This window comes from Homo sapiens, chromosome 6, assembly GCF_000001405.40.
Source record: "Homo sapiens chromosome 6, GRCh38.p14 Primary Assembly".
NCBI lineage: Eukaryota > Metazoa > Chordata > Mammalia > Primates > Hominidae > Homo > Homo sapiens.
Window position 1 is genome coordinate 47,039,843 of NC_000006.12, and position 15,135 is coordinate 47,054,977.

The 15,135-nt window shown below is 38.8% G+C and overlaps 1 protein-coding gene across 2 annotated transcripts in view, besides 1 other annotated feature; it reads right to left on the reverse strand.

Moving 5' to 3' along the window:
• The window catches only part of ADGRF1 (adhesion G protein-coupled receptor F1), a 44,625-nt gene extending 42,135 nt beyond the window's left edge, over nt 1-2,490 (reverse strand). For both annotated transcript variants that reach the window (NM_153840.4, NM_025048.4), the window contains exon 1: nt 2,349-2,490. The gene's annotated coding sequence lies outside the window, so the exon portion shown is untranslated. The remainder of the gene's footprint in view (nt 1-2,348) is intronic.
• Nucleotides 4,403-5,602: an enhancer, noted in NCBI's record as "BRD4-independent group 4 enhancer chr6:47011981-47013180 (GRCh37/hg19 assembly coordinates)". NCBI's record gives its function as "activates an origin of replication core promoter dependent on BRD2, P300/CBP, MED14 and CDK7 cofactors, and independent of BRD4, by STARR-seq in HCT116 cells {active_cell/tissue: HCT116}" and the evidence as "EXISTENCE:reporter gene assay evidence [ECO:0000049][PMID:35650434]".

Here is a 15,135-nt window from a genome sequence, read left to right on the forward strand (position 1 = left end):
TCCCAGCTACTCAGGAGGCTGAGACAGGAGAATTGCTAGAACCTGGGATGTGGAGGTTGAGGTGAGCCGGGATTGTGCCGCTGCACTCCAGCCTGAGCAACAGAGTGAGAAACTCTGTCTCAAAAATAAATAAATAAATAAATAGATAAATAAAATAAAATAAAACCATGTATCTATCCAGTCAAGAAATCTGAAGGCCTTGAAATCTTGCGAGCACTACTCTGCTAAGACAAACACAATTTAGGAAAATCCCAAGACATATGTATTTGGCAACAGCGTTTCCCCTTCTCTACAAGCTATGGGTGTTCCCTGCCAAAGAACATTAAAAAGAGAACCAGGTGGCTGAGCGTGGTGGCTCACGCCTGTAATCCCAGCACTTTGGGAGGCCGAGACAGGAGGATCACGAGGTCAGGAGATCAGGAAATTGAGACCATCCTGGCCAACACAATGAAACCCTGTCTCTAATAAAAATACAAAAAATTAGCCAGGCATGGTGGTGGATGCCTGTAGTCCCAGCTACTCGGGAGGCTGAGGCAGGAGAATGGCGTGAACCCGGGAGGTGGAGCTTGCAGTGAGCCGAGATCACGCCACTGCACTCCAGCCTGGGCGACAGAGTGAGACTCCGTCTCAAAAAATAAAATAAAATAAAAAAAAAAACAGGCAAAATATTTTGAAAGTTACAAATATAAACATTTAGATTAGGTAGGTTACACAGCACAGTTTCCTAAGGGTGTCCTTAAGCAAAATTGTGAATTCAGTGACACTTGTCCCGGGGATGCCACTCCCCCACTTTCTGACTTGTGCACCCTTGTGACGCACACCCCACCACTGCTAATGCCCTCAGATACCCAGTGCCCTCTTGCTCCTGCCAGTTTTTACTTTACTTACTCTCAGCCAAAGCACTAAAATCATTTATTTATATCCAAATTTGAATGAATGTGTTCATTTACTTTTTTAAAGAGATGTTTGCATTCCTTTAGTTGTGTAATGAAAGACATTAGAAGGCACATTGTTGTGAAAGTATGGTGCTTTCCTTGCCCTCAGCCCAGCAACAGACAGACCCTGTTATTGGGACACTGTCCCTGTTTTTTAAGAAATTTACTCTACTTTTGGAGAAGAAAGACATACAAGGCATCCAACAATAATTCACATCAGCTTGGGGTTGTGCACAAAAGGTGAGTTTGCAAGTTGAGCTTGTCAGACTCCACAGGCATACACTCCTATTTCCAATCTTAACGCTTATTGGCACCATTTTACAAATGAAATAACCAGGATAAGACAACTAAATAATTTGCTCAATGTTTTACTACTTGTCAAAGGTTGAATAAAGTATTATGGGACCATTATTAGAACACTGTTGTCAATTTGGGTTATGGTTAGATAATGAGTGGTGTTTTCTTAATGACAACAGAGCATAATAAAAGGCTTGTGTTAATATTCTAACATATTAAAGAATGTACTTTTATTTATTTTTTGTTATTCTTGCCTCTGTTTGTAATTTCCAGCCCATGAATGCTATTATCAAGTTGAGCTTAATGGATCTCAGCATGAAAAAGCCAAGGTCATCACTTCTCCACACCTCTCCCACCTTGACCTTCTTTCTATATCTCCTTCGGTATTTTTCCTTCATGTAGTCTCTGGCATGGTACATTACATAGGCTATCAGGTTTACATAAATGGATTTTTCATGAAAACAAAGAAAAGAGAAAAGAAAAATTATATATTTTCAAGGCCTCTACTAAGAAAATACAGTGTGACATTTTATATTTATTTGGGGAAGTAGCAGGAGAAATGGTTAGTCAATTCTAGGGTTTTTTGGAGTCCTGGGAAGGAGTTAAATTGAGAAGTACTTCCTGGATATATATGGATCCAGGCAAAGCTTAAACTAATTCACCCTAAAGGAAAAATAAGCTTAATTCTCTCAAGCATAATTTTATTTTAAGAGATTGCAAGGGTTAACGTATTATGAATTAGTGAAAACCATATGACTGATACTTTAACAAGTATCTTTGGTGGAGCCCTTTTTATTCTAGGCAATCTACCTCCCTGGCACATCAGAACAATGGGGTTCCTGTGTTATCACAGAGGGAAGAGTGTGCTTTCAGTCAGAAAATCTGGAGCTTGAGCCTCAGCCAATCACCTCATTATAGTTAGTAAGCGGGTTGAAATCTGTTGTTTCTGCTCATTGCTTTTTCAACTCTGTTCCCTTATTTAACCATCTTCAGGAAATGATACATTGAAATCAGAATTTTTTTTTCAAGGAGAGAAAAAATAATCTCAGATTAACAGGTAGTACTGGTCATCGTAATACACGTTCTTAGTAATCAAAGTACAGTTATTGGGCTTACCTGGTGATTTATCTCTTCACACCAGAACTCGAGGGAGCCCTTCCTTCAGTATACTTGTGGCTCAATCACTTCTTATGCTGTTTGGAAAGAAAGTATCAGTATCTGAGCCACAGCAGCTCACTGGCATGAACACAGGCTCACTGATCCATCAGCAATTCCTGGCACGCATTACTGCCTGTGCAGGTAGACAAGCCTGGGACACACCCCCTTCAAGAAGGAAACAAAATACTTTTCTCCTAACTCCCCCTCCCGCTTAAAGTCACTATCAGGTCTGGTAAGAGGAAGGAGCACAGAGCTCAAGACTTAATGATTCTCCCAGCAGACATAAATGGGTGTCTGAAATCACAGAAGGGAAATGGGAGAGAAAAGCTCTAGGGGAATGTGGAACACTTTTGCCCTAGATCGGTTTACTACAAAATGCTACTCCATCAAATCTTCCTGTCCAACCTCTGAACACACTGGGTCATACCCTATAAAGCTGAAGGAATGCAGCCCTTCATGCATAATTCCAATGAGGAGAGGTGGGTAATTCCTGTGGGGCAGAAATAAGGGTAGATACTGTTTTTCCTTTTCCAACTTTTTTATTTAAGACTAAAGAATCAACTAGCTACTTTCCCAGATAAAACAACCTCAGACTTCTGGGTGGGGTAGTACCAAAGGAGCTGTGGCAAAAGACAGCAACAGGGTGGATGCTGGGGTGAATGCTTTTGGTGTGTTTTTTGTGCTTAGAAAACCTAGAGTGAAACCTGATTAACTTCTTTAGTAAAGATTTGTTTTCTTTCCAAGGAGTCATCCAGTTTGAAAACTATGAAAGGTCAAGATTATTATGTGCTGTATCTTTAGCCACATTGGCTCATAAATTACTTTTGGTCAAGGTAATGAGCTACTAACAACCACGTCTAAATTAGCAATTTGTAATTCTGTTATGGAATAATGAAGGGGATAATAATATGTTAATTCTCAAAAATGCCACTGAAAAGAAAGCAAAGGATGTCTCTGAATTCAATTAATTTATTAATTTTCTTTTGTTTCTTTTAAGCACTCCACGTTTTACAAATGACTTGAGCTGGCTTACAATGTTAATGCATAAAATAAAATAGTGTGAGAATAAAAATTTTAAAATCATTATAAAACCTCTATATAAACTATAAAAAAGGAAACTATAAAGAGTCAATTAAGAAAAGTGATGCAAATAATAATCCCTGAAATTATTGTTTCATAAATTTGAAACTTATCTCTAGGACAGAACTTCCTAACAGTTAAAGAAAAGGGGAAGCTAGTCAGGTACACTGTTCTCACAATCAGGAAAGAGGAAGCATCTATGTTTTCATGAAAGAGTAAGTAAATTCTAATAGAAACATCTTTTTTAGAGTGAACAATATTCCCGTCAACATTTGAGCTTCTAATTGCATGTTGAAGACCTTTAGTGCTATGTGGGCCTAAACCCAGTATGACCCACTTGTCTTCCACACCAGCTGGGCCACTGATCCCTATCATACTTAACATGATTGGGTCTGGGTCTAGCCCACTGAAAAAGTTATCAAGAGAATGGGGCTTACCTGACAAACCCCAATTGTCAGGTAGACTCAAGCTTCAACCATTGTTCCTTTGTCCCCCATCAGCCTGGGTGGAAAAAAGCTAATCTCATAATCTAGTCGAGTTAATTCCATTCTCCTTCTGCTTGTTTTCTGTAGGGTTTTGCCTGTTTCACAGTCCACCAATTATAACTGTAGACCAAATTTCAATTCCGAAAGGATAAAGACTTCCAGACATACATACTCTTACTCAGTAGGTCCAATGTCTAAAGTTTTAAGATGAGAGATGCCATCTTCTCAGTTCAGTGCCACCCCTTTCCTATTGTCTATATTAAATTACAAGTGTTTAAAGTAATTCACTGACATCCTAGTAAGAATGTGTTTATAAAATGGAATTAATAATCTACTAATCACTAGAGCAAGAAAGTGGCCATGGAATTGGGTGGAAACAGTTGAAATGACCAACTAGTGTGGAGTTTAAGGTGGTGAGGGCTTGAAGCTGAGATGGAAGCTCTGTTATCCACCTTTGGCTCATTGTGTCACTGCAGCCCAACAACTTCCTAGGGCCAAGGTATGGCCCTCAGAACCAAAGGAAACCCTACATTGTCTCATTAGACCAAAAACACTTTAGCAGACACTAGTAGGTGAGGCAACCGGTAGACATCAATGATTCCATGAGCACATTGATTTTGGAGAAAATCTGAATCCAAACAGATGAATGCATTTAATAGTCTTTTAATTCCGTGTTTAATAGAAGGAAGTCATAGTACGTCCAATATTCAGATTGTTTCATAAATAAGGTGTGTTTTTGAAACTGATGACTCACCAAAAAGCAGTTTACTCACCGCTTCTAATTTCCTGCTAAGAATCTGTTAGTGCACGCAACACTAAATTCCTCAGTACTTCCTGGTGAGTTTGAGGAGCTCTCTGGTCCTTGCAAAGGACACAGTGCAAAAGGAAGCAGCATGGGTTTATGCACTGTGGCAGCATTCGGACATCTTATTACCTTAAGAGCTCAGGACAAAGCCAACCTTCTGAGTGCAGAGCTGTGGAGCTTTGTTGCCCCTCTAGTTTGATTGTAATGTTTCACAGGCATGAACAAGGTGTTCACTTGAGCATAAGAAGCCAGGTAAACAAATTTATTTTGGTTCATCTGGTCAACTTTACATTCCACAAATGCTGGGGGGAAAAAAAAGAAGAAGAAGAAAGGCCTGGGGCTGAGGAAGAGCTTCAAGCCTTCTAACTTCATCTGTTGGTGTTGGTTTAGTGAAGAGTCTGGTTGCTTGGTTTCCAAGCAAAAGAGCAGGGTCCCACAAATAAACAGCAATAAGCCTGAGTCCTGGGAGAAAGAAAATGCAAACAGAATCATGTTATTGAAACTAGTTATCTAAATTCATATGTCAACAAACTGTCCCTGAGTGAGTACTCGGTGTGAAACAATATCTAAATTAGACAGATCAGCAGGTGAACCAGAAAAGGACAGGAACCCAATTACAGAAGGACCCTGATGCCCATGTCCATACATCAGAAGTGCTGGACATTCTTTGAGTTTGGTCATAAAGAAGTTTTACCCCAGGGGCTGCAAACACAAACGGCAGACTTGAGTGATGTGATGATGCAGGAGTGTGAAAGACCCTGGACTGTTTCAGGTGGTTTTATTCCATAGTTGCAAAATGTTTGAAAGCACTATATATATGTATATGTATATATTGCAAGTATAATTTTTTTAACTGAAAGGAGGAGTAAAAAAGAGAAGAGTTGAGTATAAACTGTAAATTTCAGCGAGACGATTCTTCTGACTACTATGATAAAAGTCTTATCAAAGCTGATACAGGCTCTTCATACTCGGAACAAGGGCTTAAGATAAGGAGAGGTGGGTTTGAAATTATGAAGCTACCTAAGGACAAGCATTGGACACTGTGACTTATGAGAAATTGCTTTTATCAGAGGGGTAGGGTAGCATTGTGTTATAATTGAGACCTGGACAGCTAATTAGAGGAAGAGAAGAACTACCAAGCACTTAGTATCAGCCAACATTTTGTTGTTGTTGTTGAGACAGGGTCTCACTCTGTCGCCCAGGCTGGAATGCAGTGGCATTATCTCATCTCGCTGCAACCTCTGCTTCCCGGGCTCAAGCGATTCTCCAGCCTCAGTCTCCCAAGCAGTTTGGACCACAGGCGTGAGCCACCAATGTTAATTTTTGTATTTTTTGTAGAGGCGGGGTTTTGCCATGTTGTCCAGGCTGGTATTGAACTCCTGAGCTCAAAGCGATCCTCCTGCTTCAGCCTCCCAAAGTGTTGTAATTACAGGTGTAAGTCACAGTTCCTGGCTTAGCAAACTTTTTTTTAAATTTTTTGTTTTTAATTTGTATGGGCACATAGTAGGTATAAGTTTTTATGGGGTACATGAGATATTTTGATACAGGCATACAATGTGTAATCATCACCTCAAACCTTTGCGGTTATGCAGCATCATTTCTTTGTGTTACAAACATTCCAATTATACACTTTAAGGTATTTTTAAATGTTTAGTAAATTGTTATTGAATATAGTCACCCCATTGTGCTATCAAACACTAGATCTTATTTATTCTACCTAATGATATTTTTGTACCCATTAACCATCCCCACTCCCCCACTGCCCACTACTCTTCCCAGCCTCTGGAAATCATCATTCTTTTCTCTACTTCCATCAGTTTAATTGTTTTAGTTTTAGCTCCCACAAATCAGTGAGAACATGTGAAGTTTGTCTTTCTTTACCTGGCATATTTCACTAAATGTCCTCCAGCTCCATCCACGTTGTTGCAAATGACAAGATCTCATTCTTTTTTTTGTTGTTGGTTTCTTTCTTTTTTTTTTTTTGTGGTGGATCAGCCAACATTTACGGAGTACTTCCTATGTGCCAAGTACTGTTGTGATCATTTTTCATGTGTTTTTATACGTTCTGCAACCCTATTTTATAGACAATGGAGTGAAGGCATCGAGCAGTTAAGTGAATGGTGAGCCAGAAAATCAACACAACCTGACTTCAAAGTCTGTTCTGTCACACTATTCTCTACTGCTTCCTAAAGACAGATGAAAAATACAAATAGAAGTGTCTGACCCTTGCTAAATATCCAAAGAAAAAGCAAAGGCAAACCAGGTACTAATGAGATAGAACATTCTTATCATCTGAACCTTCCATAATAAATTGGAGAGCCATCAAAATCCTATAGAGTCCACACTTCATTTTATTCAAGAAGTAAGCTTCAAGTGTCACTAAATTCAAGGTCCTGTGTAAATCTGGCAGTTGGTCAAGACGGTATCTGTGGCCTTTAATCAGTTCAGAATGTACAGTATTGATACAGAATTATTATTCTCTGTACAGAATGTACACAGATAACACTGAGAAGAGAAAGCTATAACCTATAAAATAAGTGATAATCCTTTTTCCCCTTCACTCCGTCTGTGTTTAAAATAAGAGTTATACAGCACCAAGAAGCCCACCTCTCCAAGCTCAAAAGATCCTCGTGAGGCCATAGGAAAGGTACAGCTGCAGGCACCAGAACACACCCCCTGCAATCACAGGAGGTGCAGGAATTCTACAGGGTCGGGACAGCCTCAATAGAGAATCTGCTATATCTTACAAGAATCCTCCTTTTTACCATGCAGATTCTAGAGTTCCAGACCCTTTACAGTAAGATGCATTTCTCCACCAGCCTATAGCATCAGAGAAAAATAACACAAGCAAGGCTTCTGGAGAACACTCATGAGTCTGCTGGATTAGAGGCTCACACCCAACAGACTCAGAGTGCAAAGGGTCCTTCCTGTGGATGAGAAGCTCTTCTAGAACAAAATTAAGCTGCTTCCGTCCCTGGGCACTTTTGCTCTGGTGTCATGGCCGTGCTCAACTTCCTCATGAGGACAAACATCTGAAGATGTGACCTGAGATTAGGACATTCTTTTTCACTTACGTATTGTTTCAGCAAACCCCACATTGACTCCAGCACTTCCAAATGTCCTTTAGGCAAAGAGAGACATCTAGTGGCCAAGATTCACAACGTTGTAGCGGCCACCTGTTTACAAAATCACTATGCGGTACAATCACTTAATTTACCATGAAGGTGACTGAGGGACTTAATGGAGGAGGCAGGAGAAGGAGCAGTCCAAACCAGGTAACCTCTGTGACCTGAGTTGCCTTGTCCAGTTTTTCAGGACATAGATTCTGCTTGGAGCAGAGTTCATTCATTCATCTATTTATTCATTTGACAAGCATTTATACTGTCTACTAGGTACAAGACACTGTGTTAAGCCTCAGGACTTCAAAATCTATAAATACACTCTTCAAGCATCTATAATGGAGAAGGTAGGCCAGCAACAATCAGTTAAAATATGTTACGATAGGGGCTGAACACACTGTGCCACAGAAGGCTGTAGGAGAGGCACTTACATGAATCTTTGAGGATAAGAAAAAGCGTTTAAAACACAGGTCTCAAACTGGCACCCTGTGGGCCCCATCTGGCCAGCAGATGTGTTTTGTTTGGACCATGCTTTGTTTTTCTAACTCTGAATTAGTTGCCGACATTTAAACATCAGGGGATTTCACATAAAAATCCAAATTTCAGCTTCTTTTGGAAAATAAGAAGATCTGAAAACATTGGTTTGTATTCCTGCAGGGTCACATTCAATTGGAGCTGCTTTCTTAATGTTTTTACATAACAGTCAATAATGTCTCTGCATAACAGCTTCTTTTAATAAAATGTTGGTAAATTTTACATGAACAAGGTAGAAAACTCAAAATTACAAAAGCATATTCAGTAAACTACCCTTGTTCCACAACTAACCAATCTTCACCTACAAAAGCGCCCACTTTACCAGTTAGAAATTGTATAAATGCATATCCTTCTCTCACAGTTTACACCAAAGTTAATATTACCTGGATTTAAAATATAAACACAAAATATGAAACTTTAAAGACAGTAGAAGAAAACAGTTGTTGCTGATACATTCTTTAAATAATGTGTTGGTTTAATGGCAAAGGTATTCCTAAAGTAAGAACAAAACCTAGATGTCACAAAAAGAAAAAAATGGTATTTTTTTGGTGTCTTCACATAAAAAGGAGAAAAGATTCTGCAAGGTCAGCAATACAATAAACAGCATCCAAATAGAAATAATGATCTGGAAAAAAAGAAGCTATTTTCAATTTATTTAATAAATTTTTCCTAATATGCAAATAGTTCTTTGGAATCAATGAAAAAAGACAATCAACCAGATAAATAGACAAAAGGATATAAATAAATCCACCAAAAAAGCATACAAATAGTTCTAAAGTCTATGAAAAGCAAGGAAACATCTAGGATAACTTGAAAAATGAAGACTAAAGCAATGATGGGATATTATTTTTACCTCTCAGGTAAAAGATCAAAAGCGTTAATGACAACATTGTTGCAGGTAGGAGGAAATAGGCAGTGTCATATATAACTAGCGGGAATATAAGTCAGTAAATCTGTACCAAATGTTTACATTTACATATCACTTGACTTAGCAATTCTATTTCTAGAAATACAACCTACACACATACTTTCATATGTGCAAAATGATATGTATACAATGCAGAATTATTTCTAATATGCTGATTGAAAGTAATCTAAAAGTCCATCAGTAGGTGCGGTGAATTGTATTTGTTTAAAATATATTATATATGCAAGACATGAACCTTTTTTGTTTTGAGAAATTGAAATTTTGAGGTTGTTACTATATTGTAATCTAGCTTAAGCATACAGAAATTGGTACTAAGAGTGGGGTAAAGCTGCCATAAGAGAAATCTGACAATGTATGACATTTGCTTCTTGTCTGGCCAATGAGCAGCAAAGAAATTGTTCTTGGAAACCATATGGGCATGACCTATATAAGAAACCTTTGTGCTTGGCATGGTGGCTCACGCCTGTAATCCTAAAACTTTGGGAGGCCACGGTGGGCGGATCACTTGAGGTCTGGAGTTTGAGGCCAGCCTTGCCAACATGGCGAAACCCCATCTTTACTACAAATACAAAAATTCGCCAGGCATGGTACTGCATGCCTGTAATGCCAGCTACGCAGGAGGCTGAGGCAGGAGAATCGCCTGAACCTGGGAGGCGGAGGTTGCAATGAGTCGAGATTGCAACACTGCACTCCAGCCTGGGCAACAGAGTGAGACTCCATCTCAAAAATAAATAAATAAATAAAAATTTTAAAAAGAGAAACGTGTGATAAATGTGAATGGCAGTTAATATGCTGAACGAGTTTCAGGCTTCAAGCAAGAAAGTTGCAATCCCTTTTACTACAGCTAGTGGTTCTCTTGTCAGTACAATGCTCTTAAAACATAATTGTCACCTCATTTGTTTCATTCCAATCAGCTGCACGTGCCATCATATACGCCTCACATTCTTTTCCAAGCAGTACCTTGAGTCTATCAGGCGTCAGTGGCAGAGCCACACCTTTGGTTTCTTTTCCGGAGTAATTTTATCCACCTGAAAGACTTAGAGCCACCTTACTCATTCCCAGTGTTGAAGGAAAAAGATTTGACGGCCATATCCGTGACTCACTTCTTGTTATTAGGCTTGGATATAATTGGTTTTATATCCAAACCAAGACCACCTCAGTTTTATATTTTATTAGTTAGAGATAGGAATTAGTTACATCTTCTCTCTGATAAGTCCCAGAATTTATGGACTTTTGTTTTTTAATTTTACTTCCATTTGCAAAGTAGCCACCTTTTTCTTGAAATACACAGTCTAAACAATCTGTAGTTTCTTTTGCTGTGCAGAAGCTCTTTAGTTTAATTAGATCCCATTTGTCAATTTTGGCTTTTGTTGCCATTGCTTTTGGTGTTTTGGACATGAAGTCCTTGCCCACGCCTATGTCCTGAATGGTAATGCCTAGGTTTTCTTCTAGGGTTTTCATGGTTTTAGGTCTAACGTTTAAATCTTTAATCCATCTTGAATTGATTTTTGTATAAGGTGTAAGGAAGGGATCCAGTTTCAGCTTTCTACATATGGCTAGCCAGTTTTCCCAGCACCATTTATTAAATAGGGAATCCTTTCCCCATTGCTTGTTTTTCTCAGGTTTGTCAAAGATCAGATAGTTGTAGGTATGTGGCGTTATTTCTGAGGGCTCTGTTCTGTTCCATTGATCTATATCTCTGTTTTGGTACCAGTACCATGCTGTTTTGGTTACTGTAGCCTTGTAGTATAGTTTGAAGTCAGATAGTGTGATGCCTCCAGCTTCTGCACAGCAAAAGAAACTACCATCAGAGTGAACAGGCAACCTACAACATGGGAGAAAATTTTCGCAACCTACTCATCTGACAAAGGGCTAATATCCAGAATCTACAATGAACTCAAACAAATTTACAAGAAAAAAACAAACAACCCCATCAAAAAGTGGGCGAAGGACATGAACAGACACTTCTCAAAAGAAGACATTTATGCAGCCAAAAAATACATGAAAAAATGCTCATCATCACTGGCCATCAGAGAAATGAAAATCAAAACCACTATGAGATACCATCTCACACCAGTTAGAATGGCAATCATTAAAAAGTCAGGAAACAACAGGTGCTGGAGAGGATGTGGAGAAATAGGAACACTTTTACACTGTTGGTGGGACTGTAAACTAGTTCAACCATTGTGGAAGTCAGTGTGGCGATTCCTCAGGGATCTAGAACTAGAAATACCATTTGACCCAGCCATCCCATTACTGGGTATATACCCAAAGGACTATAAATCATGCTGCTATAAAGACACATGCACACGTATGTTTATTGCGGCATTATTCACAATAGCAAAGACTTGGAACCAACCCAAATGTCCAACAATGATAGACTGGATTAAGAAAATGTGGCACATATACACCATGGAATACTATGCAGCCATAAAAAATGATGAGTTCATGTCCTTTGTAGGGACATGGATGAAATTGGAAACCATCATTCTCAGTAAACTATCGCAAGAATAAAAAACCGAACACCGCATATTCTCACTCATAGGTGGGAATTGAACAATGAGATCACATGGTCACAGGAAGGGGAATATCACACTCTGGGGACTGTGGTGGGGTGGGGGGAGGGGGGAGGGGTAGCATTGGGAGATATACCTAATGCTAGATGACGAGTTAGTGGGTGCAGCACACCAGCATGGCACATGTATACATATGTAACTAACCTGCGCAATGTCCACATGTACCCTAAAACTTAAAGTATAATAAAAAAAAAAAAAAACAATCTGTAGCAATTAACTTGTGCTAGTAACATTGTTTTGCATTGACCTACTCATTTGTTTCACACCATGGACTGAATAACATATCTTTGCCTCATTGATTTGAGATGCTACCTTTATTAAATACTAAATTCCTATGTGACTTTGGGTCAATTCATGGATTTTGTATTCATTTCATTCGTCTGTGTCTGCTCAAGAACAACTTAATACTCTGTTTATTGTGACTTCATCATATATCTTTATATCTAATATACTAATTATTCCTCATTATTCTTCCTTTTCAGAATTTTTCTATTTCTGCTTATTAATTTATTCATATAAACTTTAGAATAAGCTTGACTTTCCCCCTCCCCACACACCACAAAAACCTATTGATATATTTATTGAGATTATGTTAAGTGTATAGGTAAATTTGGGGATAATTAATGTCTTTTGAGTTCCTCTAAAGAAGAATATGGCTTGATTTTCTACATGATCAAATAAAATAAAATAATTAAGCAGTGCTGATCATAATTCTGAAAGATGCAATTTTGAACATGATAATCTGTAATTTCAATCATAATTTGGGTTGAAGTACCGAAGGATCAAAATCTCTAGTCTAAAATCTTGAAAATCACAATAAATCCCAAATGTTGAAACCCTGAAACCTGAATTCTGGGGAAGGTATGAATGAGTTTTCAGCTGTAAGCAGGGTTGTTGCATCATGTTAGTTGCATTATGTCAGGCAGAACTATTATTACCTTGTTTTTGTCTTTATTTGCATTTGGAGGGCAATTCAGATGACTGGATGGGCCATGTGATAAGGCAATGATGAAAGCTTCCTTTTAAAAATGCATTATTTCGGCTGGGTGCGGGGGCTCACGCCTGTAATCCCAGCACTCTGGGAGGCCGAGGTGGGTGATCACCTGAGGTCAGGAGTTTGAGACCAGCCTGACCAACATGGTGAAACCCCATCTCTACTAAAAATACAAAAATTAGCTAGGTGTGGTGGCATGGGCCTGTAATCCCAGCTACTCGGGAGGCTGAGGCAGGAGAATCACTTGAACCCAGGAGGCAGAGGTTGCAGTGAGCTGAGATTGCACAACTGCACTCCAGCCTGGGCGACAGAGCGAGACTCATCTCAAAAAAATAATGCATTATTTGTCTGCACTGGCATTCCTTTCAGCTGGTGAAATTCCAGGAGCTTTTAATGAATTAAAGTCGCATTTCTCTGAAGAAGCCAGCAAAGTTACTGACTAGTTTAAAAATAATTATGTGCCTGGTAGGATAGGAAGACACTTATACAACAGTGTTGGGGTTCGATCAACAGTATAGTTCCCACCAAATTTGTAGTCTGTATATAAGTGCACGCGGAATGGACTTTGCATGCGCAAAGCAACCTAGAAGTGTGGTACAGAAGATGGGAAAACAATAGGGAATGCTTATGTTGTTGTATATTGAATCACAGAATGATTTCAAAAAGAGCAAGCACCATATAGAAAATGAAAGTGAACATATTCTCCAAGGAGAATCATCTGGATGCAAGACTTCAAAATAGAGCTAATGATAGTGAAAGCTGGCCAGCTCTTATGAACAGCCTATGTGCAATTATGCATAGTCTATCCCTCTAATTGCTTTTTCATATGGTAAATTTTCTTTTGAGTTTGTTTTTCTTCTTTTTTCTTTTTAAATTTTTGATTCCCAACTATTTTAAATTGACAGCATTATTTTTCACGATTTGCTATGCTATGTATTTCATCTTTACCTCATTTCCAATATTGGAGGTATAAATTGTGTAAAGACTTTTAGAGAGTTCTAATTCATTCTATGCATTTTTTATAAACTTGACTCCATGAAAGTACATTTGACTTCATGTGTAAGCCTCGTGTGTATATGTAAAAATATTGAAACTTTCTTAATAAATGAAGAAATGTCCTTTTAGTGCATCTGCTTTTGTAAAAGAGAAAACTGCTCAAGGGTTCGGCTCTTTGGGTGACTGCATATGCGGTGGCGAGTGATCACAGGTTTCTATTGTTCTTCTCAAAAGACGTGGGTTGTCCATCACAGCATTTCAGATTATTGCAGTTATAAAGCTGAGCGTACACAATTACCAGCCATAGTGATACATGATTTCTACATTTCACTTTTTCATCTATTTATGAATACACTCGTCTGCTCATAACTTATACCCATGCAATTGTTCCTAGTATACCTAAGTGGGCTTGCAAAAACATAGTTTTTTATTATAATTTAAGTTCTGGGATACATGTGCAGAATGTGCAGGTTTGTTACATAGGTATATACGTGTCATGGTGGTTTGCTGCACCCAGCAACCCGTCATCTACATTAGGTATTTCTCCTAATGCTATCCCTCCCCAAGCCGCACACCTCCCAACAGGCCCCAGTGTGTGATGTCCCCCTCCCTGTGTCCATATGTTCTCATTGTTCAAATCCCACTTATGAGTGAGAACATGCGGCATTTGGTTTTCTGTTCCTGTGTTAGTTTGCTGAGAATGATGGTTTCCAGCTTCTTCCATGTCCCTGAAAAGGACATGAACTCATCCTTTTTTATGGCTGCATAGTATTCCATGGTGTATATGTGCCACATTTTCTTAATCTAGTCTATCATTGATGGGCATTTGGGTTGGTTCCAAGTCTTTGCTATTGTGAACAGTGCTGCAATAAACACACATGTGCATGTGTCTTTATTGTAGAATGATTTATAATCCTTTAGGTATATACCCAGTAATGGGATTGCTGGGTCAAATGGTATTTCTGGTTCTAGATCCTTGAGGAATCGCCACACTGTCTTCCACAATGGTTGAACTAATTTACATTCCTATCAACAGTGTAAAAGTGTTCCTATTTCTTCACATCCTCTCCAGCATCTGTTGTTTCCTGGCTTTTTAATGATCGCCATTCTAACTGGCGTAAGATGGTATCTCATTGTGATTTTGATTTGCATTTCTCTGATGACCAGTGATGATGAGCGTTTTTTCATGTATCTGTTGGCTGTATACATGTCTTCTTTTGAGAAGTGT